The sequence below is a fragment of the Homo sapiens genome, chromosome 2 (genome assembly GCF_000001405.40).
Source record: "Homo sapiens chromosome 2, GRCh38.p14 Primary Assembly".
NCBI lineage: Eukaryota > Metazoa > Chordata > Mammalia > Primates > Hominidae > Homo > Homo sapiens.
In genome coordinates, this window is record NC_000002.12 from 109,591,474 (window position 1) to 109,611,453 (window position 19,980).

Genomic DNA, 19,980 nt, shown 5'->3' on the forward strand with positions numbered 1-19,980 from the left:
TTAAACATCATTCAAAAAGTCTGTGAGGAAGATGGAATAGACTGTTAGTACCATTGATATATGGAGAAAGAGGGAAAAACAAGAGACTACAGTTATTGGAGCACAGAACTAAAGGAAATTATTTAATCTTACTGAATTACTGGCCAGGTGTGGTGGCTCACGTCTGTAATCCAAGTGCTTTGGGAGGCGGAGGCAGATGGATCACTTGAGGCCAGGAGTTCAAGACCAGCCTGGCCAACACGAGCAAAACCCCGTCTCTAGTAACAATACAAAAATTGGCCGAGTGTGGTGGCACATGCCTATAATCATAGCTATTTGGGGGGCTGAGGCATGAGAATTGCTTGAACCTGGGAGGTGTAGGTTGAGTGAGCCGAGATTGCACCACTGCACTCCAGCCTGGGCAACAGAGTGAGCAAGACCCTGTCTCAAAAACAAACAAAATAAAAAACAACTTACTGAATTACCTATGTTTGTATTTGTAATTTTCTTTCTAGTTACTCACCTCTTTCACCAGATTTACTTCCTATTTTTAAATACAAATTTCAATATGAATTACCAAACCCCTCCCCACAGACCCTTAGAAGCATAAGGTGTAATCTTGCATCAGGGAGGCAGCTGGCAGGACCACCCAAGGGCTCCCTAAACTCTGCCATTCACAGGAGTTCTATGCACCCACCACATTCTGCAGTGTGCTCAAAAAACAAATAACGGCCGGGCGTGGTGGCTCACGCCTGTAATCCTAGCACTTTGGGAGGCTGAGGGAGGCAAATCACTTGAGGCCAGGAGTTCGAGACCAGCCTGGGCAACCTGGCAAAACCCCGTCTCTACTAAAAATACAAAAATTAGCCAGGTGTGGTGGCACACACCTGTAATCCCAGCTACTTGGAAGGCTGAGGCATGAGAATTGCTTGAACCCGGGAGGCAGAGGTTGCAGTAAGCTGAGATTGCACCATCGCATTCCAGCCTGGGCGACAGAGCAAAGCTCTGTCTCAAAAAACAAAAACAAACAACGAATGATAAAAAGAAATAGGGCTGGGCGCAGTGGCCTGTAATCCTAGCACTTTGGGAGGCTGAGGTGGGCAGATCACTTGAGGTCAGGAGTTCAAAACTAGCCTACCAACATGGTGAAACCCCATCTCTACTAAAATACAAAAAAGTTAGCCGGACGTGGTGGTGGTCACCTGTGATCCCAGCTACTCGGGAGGCTGAGACAAGAGAATCGCTTGAACCCGGGAGGCAGAGGTTGCAGTGAGCCGAGATCATGCCACTCCACTCCAGCCTGGGCGACAGAGCAAGACTCTGTCTAAAAAAAAAAAAGGAAACGAAAAAAGAAACAGAAAAAAAAATTTCCTTAATGTCAGAATATTGTGGATACTCAATTAAGAATATTGTGGATACTCAATTATTCAATCCATCATCGACTTTTCACTTGAATCAACAGAAAAATTAATTCACGTTGGAGGTAAGTACAAACAGAAGTCTCTATCACAAGAGTCTATAAGCACTCCAAGTAGTTATTTTAAAATCATAGAAGCATTTAGAGTACAATATGGTATCTATTTAAAAGACATACTCACTATCTGTTCATCATCTGATCCTTGTGAAGACATACAAGTTGTTTTCGTTGCCATGTGAGACTGAAAGAGCTAAAAAAGGAATACAAAGGCTTAAAAGGAAACAGAAACATTACTCCCCAAACCCCATTATCTGAATAATATATTTACATGAATAAGGTGTTATAATAATGTTGTTATCACCAAGTTTTGATGTGTAGTCTACATTATTGAATCGTGTTTGAAATTGTGGCTTTCTTGCTGGATAGGTATCTACATAAGTAAATTACATATAATATTCAACATATACAGTAATATACTTGCACACAAAAAAATTTTATGAAATTAGTAAACTTCCATTTACAAGTAGAGAGAGAAAGAACTTTTTTTTTTTTTTGAGACGGCATCTTGCTCTGTCACCCAGACTGGAGTGCAATGGCATGATCTCGGCTCACTGCAACCTCCGTCTCCCAGGTTTAAGTGATTCTCCTGCCTCAGCCTCCTGAGTAGCTGGGATTACATGTGCACGCCACCATGCCTGGCTAATTTTTGTATTTTTAGCAGAGACGGGGTTTCACCATGTTGGTCAGGCTGGTCTCGAACTTCTGACCTCGTGATTGGCCTGCCTCGGCCTCCCAGAGTGCTAGGATTACAGGCATGAGCCACCACGCCTGGCCTTTTCATTTTTAAAGATACTCTAAGAGCCAAGAAGTCCCTCAAAATCAGGTATGTTCCACTGCAGCGTGTCAGAGGAAATACAAATGTCAAGAATGCTACAATTGTGGTGTGGTGGGGAAAGCAGGGATTTTATAATTTGAACAAGTACCTTAGTCACTAAAATAATCATTTATAGAACTCATATTACACGTCCATATCACTATGCTAGCTCATTAAGTTTATTTTCTTATTTAATCCTTACAATACATCTGAGCTATACATATTAACATTCCCACAGCCTAGATGAAAAAATTCAGATTCTGAAAGGTTGAGTAATTTACCCAAAATCATACAAGCCAGTAGTGTATAGACACAGGTCTGATTTGACTGCCAAACTGGTGTTCCTTCTACTGCCTCAAGTTGTAAACCAAATGGATATTCACTGTTCGCAACAGTAGAGAATGAGGGAAGAGAGGTACAAGAAAAACTGTACTAATTCCAAGGTACTGCTATCCTACTTCTGAATACAGCACAAGATAATGAGGAAATGTCACATTATTTAAAAAACAATATTAATATGAATGTGGTAAAAAAAAAATTGCAAATGGTGTCAATGAGAATACAGTGCACAATTACTCCCTTCCCACTCTTGATTCTCTAATAGCTCAGCGCTCTTCCCGAGAGGCACCAGACCCTTACGCATCCTTCCAGAGAGAGGCTGTGCATGTCTAAGCAGGCCTCCTTTGTTTATATAAATGGTAGCTGTCTACTGCTCTGCACTGTGGTTTTTTTTTGCTGAATCTCTCCTGGAGACTGTTTCGCAGTAGTATTTAGATCTACCTCATTCTTTCTACAGCACAGTGTTCTCCTCTGTATACTACAGTGTGGTGTATACATATCGACGCTCTTCATTGAGACTGTCCTCTCCTCTGCAATTACAATGAACCATGCTGCAACAAACGGCATTGCAATGAAAGAGAGAACCTGGGTGCTCCCACCACCTCACCGTGATCCTCTGTGCGGGCGCGTGCACGCATGCGCATGCACACACGCACATGCACACACACACACATACACAGTGAATAAATCTTACAGAGACAAAATAGTGTACATCGTGACTAAATTTCATATATGCTAACAACAATCTTTTGCTGGTACATTTTGATAAAATAGGCTGACCTTGTGACTGAACACTCCGAATAACAATGTGTTTTTTTTTTTTGAGACAGAGTCTCACTCCGTCACCCAGGCTGGAGTGCAGGGGTGCAATCTCAGCTATTGCAACCTCTGCCTCCTGGATTCAAGCGATCCTCCTGCCTCAGCCTCCCGAGCAGCTGGGATTACCGGCAAGCACCACCACGCCTGGCTTATGTTTGTATTTTTAGTAGAGATGGGGTTTTGCCACGTTGGCCGGGGTGGTCTCAAACTCCTGAACTCAAGCGATCCTACCGCCTTGGCCTCCCAAAGTGCTGGGATTACAGGCCTGAGCCCCCACGCCCAGCCAACAGTGTTTTCAAATCCTAAGTTTTTCCAACACAAAATGACACTTGTCAGTTGGAAGATGCTCCTATTTAAAAGCACGCAAAAGCTCAGTGAGGGACACAACGGTTCTGATTGTGTTTTTACAATCTAAAAGGCAAAAAGTATGTAAATGATACAAAGCACATCAGAGACTAGCCTGATTTTAATACCTGGCTTCAGGCTTTAGCTTTTAACTACACATATACTTCACTTACACCCTGCCATTCTGAAAGGCCCCCCAGTCCCAGTCATCATGTGGTACCTAAGCAGTATCACGTCCCTCTAGTCTGTAGGACAGAAACAAAGTGAGAGCCCCTGGAAACAAACAGTGGTGGTTACAGAAATTTGGAGAAATTAGAGATCACTGAAGGCAGGAGTCAAAGAAGAAAATGACTTTGAAGTGAGTCAGGAAAGAGGTATAAATCTAGATGAGAAATTTAAGGTAGAAAAAAAATCCCTAAACACCAGAAGGCAGAATTTCGTACTTGGAGAAAGTACAGTAAGTGTAAGAATTTGAAGGAAAAAACGAACAGATTAGAGACAATACCTGAGTGGCAGACTGAGTAAACCAGAAATGTCCATTTAGAGTCTGACTTTCTGCTAAAGGCTAAGTGCCACAGATAATATCTGGCTAGGGGCCCTGGTCAGAGCTCTGCATTAGACACAATGAGGAGGAGGGTAGAACATTCCATGCTTGTCGTTAATTCCGGACCTAACATACTACCTGCTTGCCTCTCAGCATCTGTGTCTACTATAAGTGATGCACAACACATATAATTCACTGAGGCTATATTATTTTGACTTGTCAAGTATAGAACTTTAAGTTTAATATTTATTTTATTTTAGAGAAAAGATCTCCCACTATTGCTTAAGCTAGAGTGCAGTGGTGCGATCACAGCTCGCTGCAGCCTCAACCTCCTGGGCTCAGGCGATCCTCCCACCTCAGTTTCCGAAACAGCTGGGCCTACAGGCATGCACCACCACACCCGGCTGAAAATCAAACTTTAAAAATTACTGGTAAAAAAGTGGTTTTTAGTTTTTAATATAATGATAGCATATCATGAGTTTTGGTGAAATGTTGCTTAGTGTTGATAAGTAAAATTTGCTTAGAAAAAAATTAGAGGCTTTAGGCCAGGCATGGTGTGGCTCACGCCTGTAATTCCAGCAGTTTGGGAGGCCGAGGTGGGTGGATCATGAGGTCAGGAGATCAAGACCATCCTGGCTAACACAGTGAAACCCCGTCTCTACTAAAAATACAAAAAATTAGCCGAGCGTGCTGGCAGGCACCTGTAGTCCCAGCTACTCGGGAGGCTGAGGCAGGAGAATGGCGTGAACCCAGGAGGCAGAGCTTGCAGTGAGCAGAGATCGCGCCGCTGCACTCCAGCCTGGCAGACAGCGAGACTCCATCTCAAAAAAAGAAAAAAAAAAAGAAAAAAATTAGAGGCTTTATACTCATTTGCCATTAAACTTAAATAAAATATAGGTTAAATTTCTGTCATTTATGTAAGTTCATATCAAATATCTGCTTTTGTTTATTCATTTACTGTGTTTCTGAACATTGGCCAAAAAGCCTACTTAAAATCTCAGTGGATAAATGTTTTGATTAGTAAGTTTAAATGAGTCACATTAAAGTAATATGAATAATTATTTCAAATATTTTCCACTAGTACTACTTGGTCAGTTAAATTTCCAAAACAAGTTTAATACTGGAAAAGATTTTCTTAATTTTTTTAAAATTTATTAATTTAGTTATTTTTAAAACAGGTTCTGGCTCTGTCACCCAAGCTGGAGTGCAGTGGCATGATCTCGACTGACAGCCGAGATCCTCCACCTCCCAAGCTCAAGCTATCCTCCTGCCTCAGCCTCCTAAGTAGATGGGACCACTGGCACATCCCAGCACACTTGGCTAATTTTTTTGTAGAGACGAGATCTCACTCTGTTGCCCAGGCTGGTCTCGAACTCCTGAGCTGAAGCAACTTGTCTGCCTCAGCCTCCCAAAGTGATAGGATTATAGGCATGAGCCACCGTGCCTGGCTGGAAAAGGTTTTTAATAAATTAGCAGGAAAAGTAATAATAGGACAAGAGTTGGCTGAATCCCTCTAATGGCAAACAGAGCTCTGTGTAGGGCTAAGAAACACTAAATTAGAAAAAAATTAAAAATCTGCAAGAATTCTGGCCTGCTCTATTGTTGACCACCCACTTAGTATGTGTAAACCACTCAGCTAGGCTCCGCAGTCTCAACAGTAGTAAGACATGGTCCTGGACCTTGTGACTCTGTCTCAGAGAAACATGAATGCACAATAGGTGACCACAATCTCGTTTCAACGCACAAGGGGGTAAGGAGACTAACCATCTCAAACCACCTTTGACTACACAGTCAATTTGCTTTTCCTGTAGCTTCTATTTTAAAGATACATATATATCACACACACACAAAACCATATATAAATCTACACACCTACTTTCCAAAAGGAAAAATCCCATACAGTAACTTAACTCCTAGCAAGGTCTACCATATACTTTTTAAAAAGTTGTATTATCTATGAATCCTAGAAAGAAGTGCCAGACGTGGGATAGCTGGAGGAAAGTCTGGTGCTGCACCTTTTTTAAAATCTCAGTTTGTGGGATACAGGCAATGTGACAGACACACAATTCATCCTAGGGCCCTTGGGAAATATGGCCTTTTCCTGTCCACCAATTACAGATAAACTTCTGATGCTTCTTTTCCAACAGGCCCCTAGGTAACAATTTTCCTTACCCTGCTGGGAAACATTTCTGAAAATGCCTTACAGCCACCCCTTAAGCAGACCAATGAGCCTCAGGAAACAGAATCCTGACTTAGCTTTATGTTTTTTTGTTTTGTTTTGTTTTTTTTGAGATGGAGTCTTGCTCTCGTTGCCCAGGCTGGAGTGCAATGGCGTGATCTCAGCTCACTGGAACCTCTGCCTTCTGGGTTCAAGCGATTTGTCTGCCTCAGCCTCCCAAGTAGAGTAGCTAGGATTACAGGCATGCACCACCACACCTGGCTAACTTTTGTATTTTTATTAGAGACAGGGTTTCTCCACGTTGGTTAGGCTAGTCTCGAACTCCCAACCTCAGGTGATCCGCCCACCTCAGCCTCCCAAAGTGCTGGGATTATAGGCGTGAGCCACTGCGCCCGGCCCTATAATCACTTGACTTTAACTTCACTTTTCCAAAATTTTTATTATTATAAAGTTAGTCCAAAATATAGAACCAAAGTTTTTAAACTGTCCCTTGGGATTCTATGAGGTCTTTTTTGGCATTCTTTAGGATAATGTGAGCGAGAGCGAGAGAGAACAAAAAGCAAAAAGTGGCCTAAATAATTATCATCGGGAGGCCGGGCGTGGTGGCTCATGCCTGTAATCTCAGCACTTTGGGAGGCTGAGGCAGGTAGATCACTTGAGGTCAGGAGGTCAACACCAGCCTGGCCAACATGGTGAAACCCCATCTCTACTAAAAATACAAAAATTAGCCAGGCATGGCAGTGCATGCCTGTAATCCCAGCTACTCAGGAGGCTAGGTTCAATTAATTTGCTCATTTGTTCCATTTACCAGGAGGCAGGAGAACTGCTTGAACCAGGGAGGCGGAGGTTGCAGTGAGCCCAGATCACACCACTGCACTCCAGCCTGGGTGACAGAGTGAGACTAGGTCTCAAAAAAAAATAAAAATAAAAAAAAAATTATTATCTGGGCCTATTTTATGAGTTTCAGGAGGGTGGGGTATTTGGCTTGAAACAATACTTTGAAAGATTCCACAGACTCATTATTTAAAATCATTTTATAACATCTTCAGGTTAAGGGAAAATTCAAGTTAAAATAAAGTTACAGGTTAACAGTGATCTAAAATTTTCTTAAAACAAGTAGTAACATTCAGTTATTCAAGCTAATGCAGACCACACTGCTAGAAGTGGATGCTTATTACAACCCAGAAAAAAAAGAACTCAAGTGGAGGCCGGGCGCGGTGGCTCACACCTGTAACCCCAGCACTCTGGGAGGCCAAGACCGGTGGATCACTTGAGGTCAGGAGTTTGAGACCAGCCTGGCCAACATGGTGAAACCCTCTCTCTACTAAAAATACAAAAATTAGCCAGGCGTGGTGGTGTGTGCCTGTAATCCCAGTTACTTGGGAGGCTGAGGCAGAAGAACTGCTTGAACTCAGGAGGCGGAGGTTGCAGTGAGCCGAGATTGTGCCACTGCACTCCAGCCTGGGCAAAAGAGCAAGACTCAGTCTCCAAAAAAAAAAAAAAAAAAAGAACTCAAGTGAAATTACCAAGAGTGAGCAAGATAAGGCAGCAGCAAGTTGGCCTCCAGTGTGCATGGCCTGTTTGCATATCCTCCGGAGGGTGTCAGTACAGCAAGGCTTAGGGTTGTCCAATCCCAGCAAAATAGCACCTCCATTATACCATCAAACTCCAACAAATACATCAAAAGTTAAAGGATAACTGCAAATTCTACTTTTTAGTCTCAAAAGATCATCAAGATGGGGAAATTCTTGATAGCAGTTCATATAAAAGAGTTAAGAGTCTCAAGCTTAACAAAAGCTTGCACCATAACAATGACAGTTTAAAATACAAATGCAATCTTATTTTAAAATTACTCCTCCTAATTAGAAATTTATTATAGAAAAAATATCATTTCTAATTTGTGCTGTTTCAGTAACACTGCAATGAATGTTCCAATTTGTGCTATTTTACTAACACTACAACGAACTTCCTCTCATGGCAGCCAAACAGGTGCGCCATTCTGATTCTCCCTTCAAGCAATACCTAGTCCTGTGGCCTACAAAGATTGCAGCTTGCTGACCGTCTCCACCTGTAGAGCCTTTGGAATCTGCTGCAGTATAGACCCAAGACCACTTTCTCCCTAGGCAGCTGGTAGTTGAAGACTGGGCACAGTAGGGATGTCAGGGCTGCCTGGCCCAGACTTTGTCAGATCCACACGGTTCTGCAGCTCTCACTGCTCAATTGGGCTTCCTCCCTTCTTTCCTTGCACGGCTATTAAGATCTGGATCAGGGCCTGAAGGCTTTCTCCCCAGCACCCACATGTCCTGCTTTCTTCCCTCTTCAACTTTCACAGGCAATACTACCCCTGCCCCTCATCTCCAAGAAATCTCCTACACTGCTAGCTCCTCCTACATGTCTGCTTGCAGAATTCCACCCAACTCACCTGTATAACCATCAATTATTCTGTGCATCTGACAATATCTTCATGATAAATTCCTAGAATATAATTCCTGTTCCAAGCATACTGCCAAACTGCCCCTCAAAAAGACTGGACCTACCTGCTTATATTTCTAATATTAGCAATGAGTTGAAAAAAAAAAAAAACCACAAACTGTTTTTCCTCTGCTCTCACACAACACAGGATAATTTTGTGACCAAATGTGGGAAGTTTTTTCCCACCCACCCACCAAGCAATCAGTTTTGTAGTAGACACTAGCTGGGTGCCCTCTAATTTAATTCTGACTTCTCTACTTGGCAATAGAGTGAGATCCCACAGACTGAGGGCTAGTCCCCAAGACTCTGCCCCATTCCCACTCCACCTCTGCTCATCGCCAGCCCCAGGTTATTTTCCAATGCTTCTAACAAATGGCTAGAAATCAGGGTCCCCACAACCCCCATCTCGGGTTCAATTAATTTGTTCATTTGCTCCATTTACCAGTTTATTACAAAGAATATTTTAAAAGATACAAATAAACAGCCAGATAAAGAGATACAAAGCTCAACATGTGGAAGAGTCCCAAGCCCAGGGGCTTCTGTCCCCATGGAGGAGGGTATGCCACCCTCCCAACACATGGATGTGTGTAAGCCTCCATGTGTTTGGCCATCTGCAAGCTCTCTGAACCCAGTCCTTCTTGGTTCTTAAGGAGCCTCCATTATACAGGCATGGTTGATTAACCACTGGTCACTGGTATCAATTAACTTTCAGCCCCTCTCCCTTTCCTAGAGACTGGGGGATGAAACTGAAAGTCCCAACCCTCTAATCTTGCCTTGTTCTTTCTGGTGACCAGCCCCATCCTTAAGCTACCTAGGGGCTGCCAGCCACCAGTCATCTCATTAGCATACAAAAGACATCACTTTGGAAGTTTTAAGGATTTCAGCAGTTGTATGTCAGGGGTCAAAGACCAAATACATATTTCACAATAAACACAAGTGTATAAAAGGGTCCATTTCATTATATATTCATCAGTACAGGGTATTAACAATTTTTAAATTTCTGTCAATTTGACAGGCAAAACTAACATCTTAATTTAACTTCTAGTATTTTAAACATTTTTCAGCTTACTGGCCATTTCTCCTATATTTCCATAAATCACCAATTCATGTTTTCCCACTTGCCTATCAGGGTACTCCTTCTTTGTTTCTCTTATTAGTAAGAGCTGCTGAGTATAACTCTTTGCTTGTCATGTGTATCATAAATATCTTTTCCTGATTTATTACTGACCCTTCCAGTTTTCATAAAGACTAAACTATAAATCTTTTTCTTTACGGCTTCTTCCTTAAATATAAAGCTCAAAATATCTTTCTACACCCTGAAGTTAAAAAAAAAAAAAGCAACTAAATCTTCCTTTATGATGTCTTACAGATTAAGTTTTCTAATACTCTACAAGTTACTTTCTAGCACTGTATGAGTCAAGGAAATATGACTTTTTCCCAATGTTGTTAGCCTACCGCAGCATAAGAGGATTAAGGGACAGCAAAGTATATTCAGTCCGTCATATGGAAATGCGCTTCCCGAGGGAAAAACCAGGACCCATGAATAGACTAGTGAGGCAGATTTTGACACAAGGAAGGGAAATGACTGAAGGATTCAAGTTGTCTAACAGAGAAATGAGCTGCCTAGGAAGCACTGAGCTCAGACCCTGGAAGGGTTCCAACAGCGGCACAGTAACCCCTATCAATACTACAGAGCTGATTTCCGTACTAAGTGGGTAACAAAGGTAACAATTTTCTAAGATCCCTTTCAACTCAGATTTTATGACTATAACTTGGAACAAGCAATGAGAGAAAGTTTGTGATGTGAAGAATGAAAACAACTTACAGAAACTGCATGAACAGAAAGGGAGATTAAGGACAATAAAATTAAGATTAAGACAATAAAATTGCATCTTATTGATGTGAAAAGACCCTGTGGAACTAAATCTCAAGGCTTATTTAAATAAAAAGTAAGCCGGGCACGGTGGCTCACGCCTGTAATGCCAGCACCTTGGGAGGCCAAGGCGGGTGGATCACCTGAGGTCAGGAGTTTGACACCACCCTGACCAAAATGGTGAAACCCCATCTCTACTAAAAGTACAAAATTAGCTGAGTGTGGTGGCGCATGCCTATAATCCCAGCTACTCGGGAGGGTGAGGCAGGAGAATCGCTTGAACCTGGGAGGCAGAGGTTGCAGTGAGCCGAGATCGCACCATTGCACTCCAGCCTGGGCAACAAAAGCAAAACTCCATCTCAAATTAAAAAAAAAAAAAAAAAAGGATTACTAGATGGCTCGAATTCCTTCAAAAGAGAGCATGTTCCATGCAGGCTAGGTGACAGAAAAGCCAATGAAATTTGAGAAGTCATTTATTTAGCCCAGGAAAAGCAAATGAGAGAGGAGCTGAAGAAAAGGGGAAGGAAGAGAAATAGATACCCATTAAAAGGACTTAAAGCCTGAACAACATAGGCAGACCCTGTCTCAAAAAAAAAAAAAAAAAAAATTAGCCAGGCACAGTGGTGTGTACCTGTGGAAACTGATACTTGGAAGACTGAGGCAGGAGGATCATCTGAGCCTGGGAGGTCAAGGCTGCAGTAAGCTGTGACTGCACCACTGTACTCCAGCCTGGGCAACAGAGCAAGGCCCTGTCTCAAAAACAAAACAAAAAAAACAAAACAAAAAAGCATTAAAAGGACCTAAAGTTGACAGGAACATCTGGGAAAAAAGAATACTTAGGAATCAGTGTGAAGTCTATCAATGCTTATTGTTTTTCACTTACTCCACAAATGTACATAATGTTATTATTATCATTATTAATATTATTATTTTTTTTTTTGAGACAGTCTCACTGTGTCACCCAGGCTGGAGTGCAGTGGCGCAATCTCGGCTCACTGCAAGCCCCACCTCCTGGGTTCACGCCATTCTCCTGCCTCAGCCTCCCCAGCAGCTGGGACTACAGGCACACACCGCCACGCCTGGCTAATTTTTTTCTGTGTATTTTTAGTAGAGATGGGGTTTCACCCTGTTAGCCAAGATGGTCTCAATCTCCTGACCTCGTGATCCGCCTGCCTCAGCCTCCCAAAGAGCTGGGATTACAGGCGTGCACCACCGCGCCCGGCCTCATAATATTATTTTTAAAGCCTTACATTTTAAGGACAGAATAACAGACCCCAGGTATTGTGGATCGAAGCTGTATAAATCAATATCCTTGCAATTTAAATCTTAGTACAATTGGGAGACATACATACAACTAAAAATCTGGAAAAGACACTCAGGGTATAATGAAATCTACATAGTCAGAGAAAGCACTGGCAAGAAAAGGCTTGAGCAGAGACTTGATGAAGAAACAGGAAATTTCCTAGCAAATAAAGACAAGACAGGTTGGGCGTGGTGGGTCCTGAGGTCAGCAGTTCGATACCAGCCTGGCCAATATGGTGAAACCGTCTCTAATTAAAATTTTAAGCCGGGCACGGTGGCTCACACCTGTAATCCCAGCACTTTGGGAGGCCGAGGCGGGCGGATCACGAGGTCAGGAGATCGAGACCATCCTGGCTAACACGGTGAAACCCCATCTCTACTAAAAATACAAAAAAATTAGCCGGGCATAGTGGCAGATGCCTGTAGTCCCAGCTACTCGGGAGGCTGAGGCAGGAGAATGGTGTGAACCTGGGAGGTGGAGATTGCAGTGAGCCGAGATCATGCCACTGCACTCCAGCCTGGGCGACAGAGCGAGACTCTGCCTCAAAAAAAAAAAAAAAAAAGAATTAAAAAAAAAATTAGCCAGGTGTGGTGGTGTGTGCCTGTAATCCCAGCAACTTGGGAGGCTGAGACAGGAGAATTGCTTGAACCTAGGAGGCAGAGGTTGCAGTGGTTGAGACTGCGCCACTGCACTCCAGCCTGGGTGACAGAGCGGGACCCCATAGAAAGAAAGAAAGAAAAAGAAAGAAAGGAAAGAAGGGAAGGGAAGGGGAGGGGCGGGGCGGGGAGAAAAGAAAGAAAGAAAAAAGAAAGAAAGAAAAGAAAAGAGGCCGGGCGTGGTGGCTGAGGCCTGTAATCCTAGCACTTTGGGAGGCCGAGGCGGGTGGGATCACGAGGTCAGGAGATCGAGACCATCCTGGCTAACATGGTGAAACCCTGTCTCCAGTAAAAATACAAAAAATTAGCCAGGCATGGTGGCGGGTGCCTGTAGTCCCAGGTACTCAAGAGGCTGAGGCAGGAGAATGGCATGAACCGGGGAGGCGGAGCTTACAGTGAGCCAAGATTGAGCCACTCCAGCCTGGGTGACAGAACGAGACTCTGGGGAGGGGAGGGGAGGGACAACACAGTAGTGGAATCTGCGTGTGCCAAGGGTACAAATATAACTGGTATGGTTGGAAAATCACAGTGAGCTCATCACTGAAGCCCAAGGAGGCTTACATGTAAATGCAAGGACAGCAGAAAAGGTGAGGCTGCAAGAAGCTGACTTCATGATTCTGAGTCCAAGTGACTCAAACTAAGGTCACTGGAGAGACGTCACTGTGAAGCAGGAAAGAGAATAGGAGAGGAATCAGCACAGGTTTGATGCAACTTTGGAACTACTGAGTTTAAGGTTCCTATGAGCACCTTGGATCCCTCAAAGAACTTTTATGTAAAATTTTACATTATCAAAAACAAATATACGTGGCCCAGTGGTAATTCTCACTTCTCTTGAAGTTTCCATTGATTCCTTGAGACTTGAATTGTTCTACACTGATAAGAGCATTAAAGATTCAGCTTAATTCATCAAGCCAGTCAGGCTTAGTTTTTGGGCTGAATATAATTATACCATATTACTAGTATGATCAGGCAGATCACCTGAGGTCAGGAGTTTGAGACCAGCCTGCCCAACATGGTGAAACTCTGTCTCTACTAAAAATACAAAAATTAGCCAGGCATGGTGGCAGGTGCCCGTAATCCCAGCTACTCAGGAGGCTGAGGCAGGAGAATCGTTTGAACCCGGGAAATGGAGGTTGCAGTGAGCTGAGATCGTACCACTGCACTCTACTCTGAGCGACAAGAGTGAAACTCCATTTCAAAAAATAATAATAAATAAATAAATAAATTGTACTTGAATAACAAAGTTAATTCATAAAAGTATAACATAATTTTCTGACTAAAAGGTAGGTAAATGGGAAAGTGTAGCTAAAAAAGCTAATCAGAATACCTGAGGATAAGCTAAATAATATCTGTATAATTTTTGTAATCAACAAAAAAGAAAATATATAGCAAAATATGCAAATACAAAACAAAATTATTTTCTCCAACTGTTCAAATTATAATGCTGTATTAGGTTCTTTAGTCCTCAGAGTTACATGGAAACTGTAAATTATAATTCTTTTCTATACAACAGAATTTCTGTTACTATGTGACAAGCAGCCTATCTTCTACCAAAACAGAGAGCCCCCAGAAATTCTCTCAATGATCCATGTCACAAAGAAGAAGAGTTAGCATGACATCAGTATAAATGTATGTTAAGAAGGCTGTTAGAATTAACTGTATAGTAGCAACAGATGCAAAATGCTGCATCATTAAGAACTGCCAAAGCCTGGAATGAGGTCTGGGGCAAGGAGGTACAAAGACAACATGGAGGAAACAAAAGACATTTTGTGCAAGGATGTGTGAAAGTTGCATCTCATCCAAAAAACTAGAGATAACAGTACTCAGCTCATGGGCTGGGAGAATAAAATGTGGTAACACAGGCCGGGTGCCGTGGCTCATGCCTGTAATCCCAGCACTTTGGGAGACCAAGGAGGGAGGATTACAAAGTCAAGAGATTGAGACCACCCTGGCCAACATGGTGAAACCCCGCTTCTACTAGAACTACAAAAATTAGCTGGGTGTGGTGGCACATGCCTGTAATCCCAGCTACTCCGGAGGCTGAGGCAGGAGAATCGTTTGAACCCGGGAGGCAGAGGTTGCAGTGAGCCAACACTGCACCACTGCATTCCAGTCTGGCGACAAAGCAAGACTCTGTCTCAAAAAACAAAAAATAAAAAATAAAATGTGATAACACAAGGGAAGTACTTGCCATGGTGAATGCACTTCAGCATCTGGTAGCATTCAATTACCATAGTGGACATAGTTATAGCCATAAAGGACAAGTCCACAGAAAAATATATCTTGACTACTTTATTACCTGCAAAGATCTTCAGAGATTACTAGGCCACTAAAAGTTGAAAATAATAGCTAAAAAGTTCCCTTTTATTAAAAAAAAAATTGCACTAAAAATTTTAAGCTTTTTTTTTTTTTTTTTTTTTTTTTGAGATGGAGTCTCACTCTGTCACTCAGGCTGGAGTGCAGTGGTGCAATGTCGGCTCACTGCAACCTCCGTCTCGCAGGTTCAAGCGATTCTCCTGCCTTAGCCTCCCGAGTAGCTGGGACTACAGGCACGCACCACTAGGCACAGGGTTTTACCATGTTGACCAGGCTGGTCTCAAACTCCTGACCGGAGGTGACCCACCCACCTCAGCCTCCCAAAGTGCTGGGATTACAGGCATGAGCCACCACGCCCAGCAAAGCTATTTCTTTCATGAATAGTGAAGAATTGAAAGGCTTCTCATGTTATTTTAAGTTTCAGCATATAAACAGTGTCAGACAGTGAATATTCTTCCTGTCTAAAATGTCTAGCCTGCTCTTCTCCGCTAATCCATGGCCATCGCTTCGTTTACTATTTAGCTCAATATTGAGCTTTTTGTAAAAAGCTTTCATTCTACTTATTTAAAGGTAGTATAAATCATAATCACACAAATAATTTGTATTTTCCAAAAATTCATATTAGTAAGCTGCTTGGAGTAAGACTACAGTCTCCATAGAAACAATATTACAAACAGCTAAGGTCCTGAGTAAGTTCTTGAATGCCTCATTTAACTTATAATGTACAGAGTATTTAGTCTTAGACTGTTTTCAAATCTAGTAGCAGACTCAGAAGAAAAAACATATGTTGCCCTATTGCTAGGATGGCTAACCATGGATCATGCATTCTCAATGGGGGCAGTACCTGTATTATCTCTCCCCCTAAAGAGAGCAGAAATCGGTTCTTGGGAGGACAAAAATAAATAAATAAACAAATGGTCTGTGGCCCTCACCAAAGCTCAACCTTATCTGAAAAATGTATATTCTTTAGTACTGGATTCCTCCCATTAGGGAGAACTTAATTACCTGGGCTAATTTAATAAAAATTAAATCTGTTATTAATTACATTTTATTTAAATGTAATTTTTCTCCTGAGGGGGTAATAATGAAAAAATGTTGAGAAACACTGTTCTAGATAAACCTTGAAAAAGGCAAAGTTTAGTCTTTCCTCCCCTGACTTCTCACCCAACCTGCCCTAAATCAAAACTACCTACCTGTGTTCACCCCTAGGGAAACTCTGACTTCCTTGATTCCCAGGATCTCCCTAGGCATTAGGAAAGTCACCCACTGACTAACTTGTCTGGAGGTATCTATACTTTTATAAGACGACAAAAGGACTTTCTATAAAGTAGATTTCATGCAGTGCAAATGGGAAAAAAAACTGAAGATTATGCTGGAGATGGGGAAAAGTTCAATGTCTGTTTCTGAAGCCGTGACTCATTCAGATTGAGCAGAACTAGCTACTAATTTGTCAGTGAGAACATTTCTCATCTATACACATAGAATTAAACTTAGTCAACTATCCTCTTAAAGGTCTTTTATAACAAAAGCAGCTTTTTATTTTAATTTTCAAAAATCATTTGAGTAATTCTGGACTAATTTAGAGCTCAAGGCAATGTTCCTGCCAAATAGTATATATGCAGCTAAGGAAAAATGTCACCATGCACAGCTTCTATTTGTCCATGAGAGACTGGGATACAGTTTTCTCATGGACACTCACAGAACATTCAAGGTATCCATCAATATACTCCCTACCTAATATTTCACAATTTGTGAACTCTTTCTATGTAACACGCACTCTAAGACAATAGGACTTTCTTGCTATCCCCATAAATACAGACCACACAGAGGGCAGGATAAACTTGATCTGATTCTTAAGGGAGGAAGGTAAAGGAAATCAGAGAATAGCCACATTTCTACCTTATCTTTGGTAAGTTCCTTGGTCATATGATCTTAGGCTGAAACTAGTGAGGAGGGGCTGGGGAGCCCATCCTACCTGGCACAGACCAGGGAGCCTGACCAGGTAGCCTATTTACTAAAAGTAATACCAACAAAGTATAAGTGCTATATCCCAAGCTATTAAATCATATTTGTTTTAAGGTATTTAACATTAGAATTTAAAATATTTTACTTTCGTCATTATGACTATGAGATACATGATTCCTCCTCCAAAATCCTTAAATCAGTAGTAGATACAAATCCTAAAAAAAAATTAAATTTTCTAAATAAAGCATTATCTAAATCAACCTTCCAGATATTATCAGAAGAAAGTGTAAGAATTAAAGTTCTCATTACAAAAGCTTTGCGCATCAGGCATTTTATACTAGGAATGCTCAAAATCTAAAGCAGAGATAAATCACATTAATATGGTTGAAAGCAAGGGTCCTGTATGTATTCTTGAAGAGAGGGACTCTATCCTGCAGTAGATTATAAAAATTTAAGAGCATCCTTCTCCTTCTTTCCCACAGACCAAAATATATCAATCAATCAATCAATTAATCCAAACATAACCTGGCACTATGTTATAATGAAAATCGGTCTGGGACTATCTGAAAAGTATGACACTATCAGTGTTTCAGCCTAGGGAAAGTGGGGCTTCATTAGAACATAAGTGTAGATGAACAAACAGCTCCTGGCTGCCTGCAAGCATTTATAATTTATTCATTTAACATTCAGCAAGAATAAAATTGTCCAAGATAACATACTTTCCATATAAAAAAATAATGCCTGTCCTCAAAGATATATGAGTATGGCTATGGAGGATACAAAGAATAATACAGGTTGCTCTTCCAGAAAACAGATCATTTAATTAAGGACGAAAAAAATGCAGAGTTTACTTGATGCAAAAGGTTAACAATACAAAAACATAAATTAGGAGGTACTGCAAGGTAGCATATGACCAAATACCAAATGAGAAGCAGCCTGGCTGCCAGGGGCTGGGGTTCTCTGGGAAAGCTTCAGAGGAAGCAGCATGGGAACTGAGTCTTTTCACTGCCGAGATCGCGCCACTGCACTCTAGCCTGGGTGACAGAGCAAGACTCCGCCTCAAAAAAAAAAAAAAAAAAAGATCAAGAAAGAATTAAGAATCACAACTTCAAGACAGAAAGTAAAACAAATGAGAAGCCTCTTAGATACGAAAATTATCCTCACTGAAGAAAAACTGAGAAGGAATGAGAAAAAAAGTTCAGAAGCATTGTAGCTAAAACAGGAAATGACAAATGCGGACAGGAATTGCAAAGATTTGGTCACCACTTAAAAGGTAAGGATAACTGAAGAAGTGGAAAATTATGGCTGTGTTTCTCGGGAGATGAAAAGGCAGTCAGTGGACTGTACTCAACACTATTTCAAGATCCACTATCTCAGTCAACAATAACTAATTATACAGCCAGGATCTCCTGAATCATAAAATGATGCAATTCCTAATAAGGAGCATGGTGGAGATAATGGCAGGGACAATATGACACAGAGCAGATCTCACAATCACTAGCTGTGATTCCTTAAGCGAGACACTAAACTTCCCTGAGGTGTTTTTTTTTTTTTAGACAGAGTCTCACTCTGTCGCCAGGCTGGAGTGCAGTGGCGCGATCTCAGCTTACTGCAACCTCCACCTCTCAGGTTCAAGTGATCCTCCTGCCTCAGCCTCCCAAGTAGTTGGGACTACAGGCGCATGCCACCAAGCCCAGCTAATTTCCTGTATTTTTAGCAGAGATGGGGTTTTACGGTGTTGGCCAGGATGGTCTCAATCTCTTGACCTCATGATCCATCCATCTGGGCCTCCCAAAGTGCTGGGATTACAGGTGTGAGCCACTGCGCCCAGCCACTTCCCTGAATTTTAATATCCTCTTCTATTAAAAAAAAGGTCTGGGCCGGGCATGGTGGCTCACGCCTGTAATCCCAACACTTCGGGAGACTGAGACGGGTGGATCACCTGAGGTTGGGAGTTCAAGACCAGCTTGACCAACATGGAGAAACCCTGTGTCTACTAAAAATACAAAAAATTAGCCGGGCGTGGTGGCACATGCCTGTAATCCCAACTACTCAGGAGGCTGGGGTAGGAGAATCGCTTGAACCAGGGAGGTGGAGGCTGCGGTGAGCTGAGATCATGCTATTGAACTCCAGCCTGGGTGACAAAGCGACATTCCGTCTTCAAAAAAAAAGAGAGAAATGAAGAGAAATACTATGTACATGAGTTAGAAGACTCAACATAGTAAAGCTATCAATTCTCCCTAAATCGATATAAACATTTAATGTAATTCCTCTCGAATCCCAGCAAAATTATTTGTAAATATAGATAAGACGATTCTAAAACTTACACAGAGAGGCACAGAACTAGAATAGCTAAAAATCTGGGGGAGAGAAGAATAAAGTGGGAGAAATCAGTCTACCTTATTTCAGACTTACACAGCTACAGGAATCAAGACTGCGTGCTAACGGAGAACCCAGAAACAGACTGAAACAGACCCACACAAATATGCTCAACTGACTTTTGACAAAAGTGCATCAACAACTCAATAATGGAAAGGGAGCCTATTCAACAAATGGTGCTGGAGCAACTGGACATCCATAGGCCAAAAAATGGCCCTCAACTTAAGTCTGACACCTAACAGAAAAATTAACTCAAAATGGGTCATAACATAAATGTAAAACATAAACTATAAAACTTTTAGGAAAAAAATAAGAGAAAATCTTTGGGATCTAAGGTTAGGCAAAGAGTTCTTAAACTTGACACCAAAAGCACAATCCATAAAAGGAAATAATGATAAATTTCAACAAAACTGAAAACTTTTGCTTTGCAAAAGACCCTGTTAGAAGATGAAAAGATAAACTACAGACTGAAAGAGAACATTTTCAAATCACATATCTGAGAAAGGACTGGAATCTAGTA

General features: G+C 41.7%; 2 protein-coding genes across 36 annotated transcripts in view, besides 1 other annotated feature; one reads left to right on the forward strand and one right to left on the reverse strand.

Annotated features, from left to right (window-relative positions):
• The window catches only part of RANBP2 (RAN binding protein 2), a 1,122,820-nt gene that overhangs the window by 871,992 nt on the left and 230,848 nt on the right, over positions 1–19,980 (forward strand). The window lies entirely within an intron of this gene.
• SEPTIN10 (septin 10) overlaps positions 1–19,980 on the reverse strand; it is a 71,168-nt gene that overhangs the window by 48,675 nt on the left and 2,513 nt on the right. For 21 of the 35 annotated variants that reach the window (NM_001321510.2, XM_011510702.3, NM_001321499.2 and 18 more), the window contains exon 2: positions 1,578–1,646. The exons of 11 other annotated variants lie outside the window; for them this stretch is intronic. In NM_001321510.2, the coding sequence (NP_001308439.1) occupies positions 1,578–1,646 (69 nt within the window). Of the gene's footprint in view, positions 1–1,573; positions 1,647–19,980 lie in introns of all 35 variants that reach the window. 3 more of the 35 variants (NM_001321509.2, XM_011510700.3, NM_001321501.2) reach the window with 1 other exon arrangement.
• Positions 3,295–3,795: an enhancer, noted in NCBI's record as "H3K4me1 hESC enhancer chr2:110352345-110352845 (GRCh37/hg19 assembly coordinates)". NCBI's record gives its function as "activates a minimal SCP1, AML or CMV promoter by ChIP-STARR-seq in primed H9 embryonic stem cells {active_cell/tissue: H9 hESC(primed)}" and the evidence as "EXISTENCE:reporter gene assay evidence [ECO:0000049][PMID:30033119]".